The sequence below is a fragment of the Homo sapiens genome, chromosome 8 (assembly GCF_000001405.40).
Source record: "Homo sapiens chromosome 8, GRCh38.p14 Primary Assembly".
Taxonomy (NCBI): domain Eukaryota; kingdom Metazoa; phylum Chordata; class Mammalia; order Primates; family Hominidae; genus Homo; species Homo sapiens.
This window is the reverse complement of record NC_000008.11, coordinates 53,017,550-53,022,761: the sequence shown is the minus strand read 5'-3', so window position 1 is coordinate 53,022,761 and position 5,212 is coordinate 53,017,550. Positions and strand designations below refer to the sequence as shown.

At 42.5% G+C, this 5,212-nt stretch overlaps 3 annotated features.

Annotated features, from left to right (window-relative positions):
• Positions 2,516 to 2,805: an enhancer, noted in NCBI's record as "active region_27350". NCBI's record gives its function as "activates an Ori minimal core promoter by ATAC-STARR-seq in GM12878 lymphoblastoid cells {active_cell/tissue: GM12878}" and the evidence as "EXISTENCE:reporter gene assay evidence [ECO:0000049][PMID:35858748]".
• Positions 2,928 to 3,661: an enhancer, noted in NCBI's record as "NANOG-H3K27ac-H3K4me1 hESC enhancer chr8:53931661-53932394 (GRCh37/hg19 assembly coordinates)". NCBI's record gives its function as "activates a minimal SCP1, AML or CMV promoter by ChIP-STARR-seq in naive H9 embryonic stem cells {active_cell/tissue: H9 hESC(naive)}" and the evidence as "EXISTENCE:reporter gene assay evidence [ECO:0000049][PMID:30033119]".
• Positions 3,662 to 4,396: an enhancer, noted in NCBI's record as "NANOG-H3K27ac-H3K4me1 hESC enhancer chr8:53930926-53931660 (GRCh37/hg19 assembly coordinates)". NCBI's record gives its function as "activates a minimal SCP1, AML or CMV promoter by ChIP-STARR-seq in naive and primed H9 embryonic stem cells {active_cell/tissue: H9 hESC(naive and primed)}" and the evidence as "EXISTENCE:reporter gene assay evidence [ECO:0000049][PMID:30033119]".

Genomic DNA, 5,212 nt, shown 5'->3' with positions numbered 1-5,212 from the left:
ACTCAAAACTGACCTCCTGATCTTCACTTCAGTATTCGCTTCACCACTAACAACCACTACAAATTGTAAGTAGTTTATGCTGTGTTCCAATCCAGCATTTGCCAACTGAGAAAAGTAGACTTAAGGGATTGAGGTTACAAGTGGAACTTAGTGGATATAAGTGAGCCCTTGTGCATTTTTGTTTGGTTGGTAGGCTATCAATTACTGCCTCAATTTCAGAACTTGTTATTGGTCTATTCAGGGATTTGACCACTTCCTGGTTTAGTCTTGGGAGGGTGCGTGTGTCCAGGAATTTATCCATTTCTTTTAGATTTTCTAGTTTATTTGCATAAAGGTGCTTATATAGTATTCTCTGATGGTAGTTTGTATTTCTGTGGGGTCAGTGGTGGTATCCCCTTTATCATTTTTTATTGTTTCTATTTGATTCTTCTCTCTTTTCTTCTTTATTAATCTAGCTAGTGGTCTATTTTGCTAATTTTTTCAAAACACCAGCTCCTGGATTTACTGAAATCTTAGTTATTTCTTGTCTTCTGCTAGCTTTTGGATTAGTTGGCTCTTGCCTCTCTAGCTGTTTTATTTGTGATGTTAGGGTGTCAATTTCAGATCTTTCTAGCTTTTTGATGTGGGCATTCAGTGCTATAAATTTCCCTGTTAACACTGCTTTAGCTGTGTCCTGGAGATTCTGGTTGTCTCTTTGTACTCATTGGTTTCAAAGAAATTTGTGATTTCTGCCTTAATTTCGTTATTTACCCAGGAGTCATTCAGGAGCAGATTGTTCAATTTCCATGTAATTGTGTGGTTCTGAGTGAGTTTCTTAATCCTGACTTCTAATTTGATTGAGCTGTGGTCTGAGAGACTGTTTGTTATGATTTCAGTTCTTTTGCATTTGCTGACAAGTGTTTTACTTCCAATTATGTGGTCAATTTTAGGATAAGTTCCTTGTAGCACTGAGAAGAATATATATTCTGTTGATTTGGGGTGGAGAGTTCTGTAAATGTCTACTAGGTCCACTTGATCCAGAGCTGAGTTCAAGTCTGAATGTCCTTGTTAATTTTATGTCTTGTTAATCTATCTAATATTGACAGTGGGGTGTTAAAGTCTCCCACTATTATTGTGTGGGACTCTAAGTCTCTTTGTAGGTCTCTAAGAACCTGTTTTGTGAATCTGGGTGCTCCTGTATTGGGTGCATGGATATTTAGAATAGCTCTTCTCATTGAATTGTTCCCTTTACCATTATGTAATGCCCTTCTTTGTAATGCCCTTTTATATTTGTTAGTTTAAAGTCTGTTTTGTCGAAGACTGGGATTGCAATCCCTGTTTTGTTGTTGTTGTTTTTTTTAACTGTCTATTTGCTTGGTAAATTTTCCTCCATCCTGTATTTGGAGCCTATGTGTGTCTTTGCACTTCAGGTGGGTCTTCTGAATACAGCACACCAATGAGTCTTGACTCTTTATCCAATTTTCCAGTCTGTGTTTTAGCCCATTTACATTTAAGGTTAGCATTGTTATGTGTAAATTTGATCCTGTCATCATGATGCTAGCTGGTTATTTTGCACATTAGTTGATGCAGTTTCTTCATAGTGTCATTGGTCTTTATATTTTGGTGTGTTTTTGCAGTGGCTGGTACCAGTTTTTCCTTTCCATATTTAGTGCTTCTTTCAGGAGCTTTTGCAAGGCAGGCCTGGTGCTAACAAAATCCCTCAGCATTTGCTTGTCTGGAAAGAATTTTATTTCTCCTTCACTTAGGAAGCTTAGTTTGGCTGAATATAAAATTCTGGATTTAAAATTCTTTTCTTTAAGAATGTTGAATATTGGCCCCCAATCTCTTCTGGCTTGTAGGGTTTCTGCTGAGAGGTCCACTATTGGTCTGATGGGCTTCTCTTTGTAGGTGACCTGGCCTTTCTCTCTGGCTGCCCTTAGCATTTTTTCCTTCATTTTGACCTTGGAGAATCTGATGATTATGTGTCTTGGGGTTGATCTTGTTGTGGAGTATCTTAGTGGTGTTCTCTGTATTTCCTGAATTTGCATCTTGGCCTGTCTTGCTAGATTGGGGGAGTTCTCCTGGACAATATCCTGAAGTGTGTTTTCCAGCTTGGTTCCATTCTCCCTGTCTCCTTCAGGTATCCCAATCAATCGTAGGTTCAGTCTTTTTACGAACTCCCATATTTCTTGGAGGCTTTGTTCATTCCTTTTCATTCTTTTTTCTCTAATCTTGTCTGCATGCCTTATTCCAGCAAGTGGTCTTCAAACTCTGATATCCTTTCTTTCACTTGGTCAATTCGGCTATGGATATTTGTGTATGCTTCATAAAGTTCTTGTGCTGTGTTTTTCAGCTCCATCAGGTCATTCATTTTCTTCTCTAAACTAGTTATTCTACTTTGTAGCTCCTCTAGCCTTTTATCAAGGTTCTTAGCTTCTTTGCATTGGGTTAGAACATGCTCCTTTAGCTCAGCAGAGTTTTTTATTACCCATCTTCTGAAGCATACTTCTGTCAATTCGTCCATCTCATCCTCTGTCTAGTTCTGAGCCCTTGCTGGAGAGGCATTGCAATCATTTGGAGGAGAAGAGTCACTCTGGCCTTTTGGGTTTTCAGTATTTCTTCTTTGATTCTTTCTCATCTTCACGAGTTTGTCTAGTTTCGATTCTTGAGGCTGCTGACCCTTGAATGGGGTTTTTGTGGGGACTTTTTTGTTGTTGATGCTGTTGTTGTTGCTTTCTGTTTGCTTGTTTTTCTTTTCTTTCAATGGTCAGGTCCCTCTTCTGTAGGGCTGCTTCGGTTTGTGGGGGTTTCACTTCAGGCGCTGTTCATCTAGTTCACTCCTACACATGGAGATGTCAACCCATGAATGGATAAATACATTGTAGTATATCTACACAATGGAATATTTCATGCTACAAGGCTGATGAATCTTAAAAACACGTTAAGTGAAAGAAACTGTACAAAAATGATCACACATTGTATGACTTTGTTTATATGAAATATCTATGATAGGTAAATCCATAGAGACAGAGCACACATGACTGGTGGTTTCCAGAGCAGCAAAGATGAATGCCTGCTCCTTCTTCTGGGATCTTCTACCTTGAGGGGCACTGACCTGATGCCAGTAGGAATGCTCCTGTATAGGATGTCTGACAACAGACAGGGTCTCACCCAGTTGGGTGGCACAGGGAACATGACCCATTTAACGAAGCACTTTGACTTTCCCTTGGTGGAGGGGGTGTGCTTCGCTGGGGGGAAAACCCACTCATCTGGACTGCTGGGATTCCTCAGAACTACCAGGAGGAAAGGCTAAGTCTGCTGGTCTGCAGAGACTGTGACCACCCCTCCCTCTAAGTGCTCAGGCCTAGGGAGATCCGGGTTCTGTCCCTGAGCTTCTGGCTGGAGTTGTTGGAGTTCCTGCAGGGAAGCCCCACCCAGTGAGGAAGGGTGTGTCAGGGTCAGGCCTGAAGAGGTGCTCTGGCCGCAGTCTGCCACAGCTGGTGTGTTGGGCTGTGGGGGACACCTCTTGGAGACCAAGCCGTCCAGCCTCCCTGGCTTCAGCAGGGGAAAAGTGTGGCCTGGAGCAATAGAGATAGCTGCTGCCCTTCCCCACCCTGGGAGCTTAATGTGTTAGGTTGCTATCAGTCCCAGTATTGGCTGCTGCCCCTCCCCCAAGGAGCTCAAACAGCTTAGGCAGCAGGCAGCTTCAGCTGTGGTGTTGGTCGCCCCTCCCCCCGCCTCAAGGGGCACAGTAGGCTTAGGCAGATTCCAGCTGAGAGGCTACTGAGAATCTGCAGGGCTCCAGGGTTGGGGGTTGGGACTCTGGGCCCCAGTGGTGTGGGTTTGCAAGTGGAATCTTTGATCCATGGGTTGCACAGTTCTGTGGATAAAACACAGTTTCCCCAGCTAGGTAGCATGTTTACTCACTGCCTCCCTTGGCCGGGAAGCGGGTGCTCCCTTGCCCCATGTGGCTCTCAGGTGGGCCGCTGCACCACACTGCTCTTCCTTCCTTTCCGCGGATCACATCAGCTGCCTAGTCAATTCTGACGAGAGAACCTGAATATATTGGTTGCCAGTGAAGGATTCACATACTAAATATGCTTCTTTTCAATGGGAGCCTCTGATTGTTGTTGTTCCTAGTGGGCCATCTTGGCCCTGCCCCCCCTTTTGCATTTTTAACATAAACAATAAACATGACATACCAAATAAAAGGAAAGTCAACAGCATTTTGTACATATTAAAACAATGATCAACAAGTACCACATACTTGATTTGGCCCTCTAGAAATGGGCATTTCTCACTTCCTCCAAATAAAATGTTATCCTAGTATAATAGTTAGGATTGATACAGTGTAAACTAGATCACCCAGGCTAGTATATTGGAGCTGTGGCTAGGCTGGCTAGCTAAATAGTTATTCACCATTCCTCAAGTTCACAGAGAACAACTTACATCTTTTCCTATGGAACATTAAAGAAAAATCACAATTTATAGATGTAAAAATAGCTCTGCTCTTCCACTCATTATTCTGAGGGAGAATATTAAGTGGGCAGCCATGCAAGATTATGGGGATTGGCATATAATTAACCAGAATTTTAAACTTTTTCCCTTTCCACCAAACCACCAGATAAATATGAGAAGCATAAAAGTATACATGAAACAAAGCAGACAGAGAGCACTGGGGAGAGTCAAAGAAGGGTTCGTGGAAGAGATAATTAAGGACATTTATCTTTTTTTTTTCTTTTGAGCTGGAGTTTCACTCCTGTTGCCCAGGCTGGAGAGAAGTGGTGTGATCTCGGCTCACCACAACCTCTGCCTCCCAGGTTCAAGTGATTCTCCTGCCTCAGCTTCCCGAGTAGCTAGGATTCCAGGCATGCAACACCACACCTGGCTAATTTTGTATTTTTAGTAAAGATGGGGTTTCTCCGTGTTGGTCAGGCTCGAACTCCCGACCTCAGGTGATCCGCCAGCCTCAGCCTCCCACAGTGCTGGGATTACAGGCGTGAGCCACCACACCTGGCCCGGACATTTATCTCTTTGGGAACACAAAAGAAGAAAGTTTTACTAGAATGAGAATTATTTGCAAATCATATAATCAATAAGGGTCTAGGATCCAGAATACATAAAGAAATTTTACAACTCAACAGCAAAAAGACAAACAACCTGATTAAAAATAGGCAAAGGACTTAGATATTTCTCCAAAAAAGACACAGAAAAGGCCAAAAAGCACAAGAAA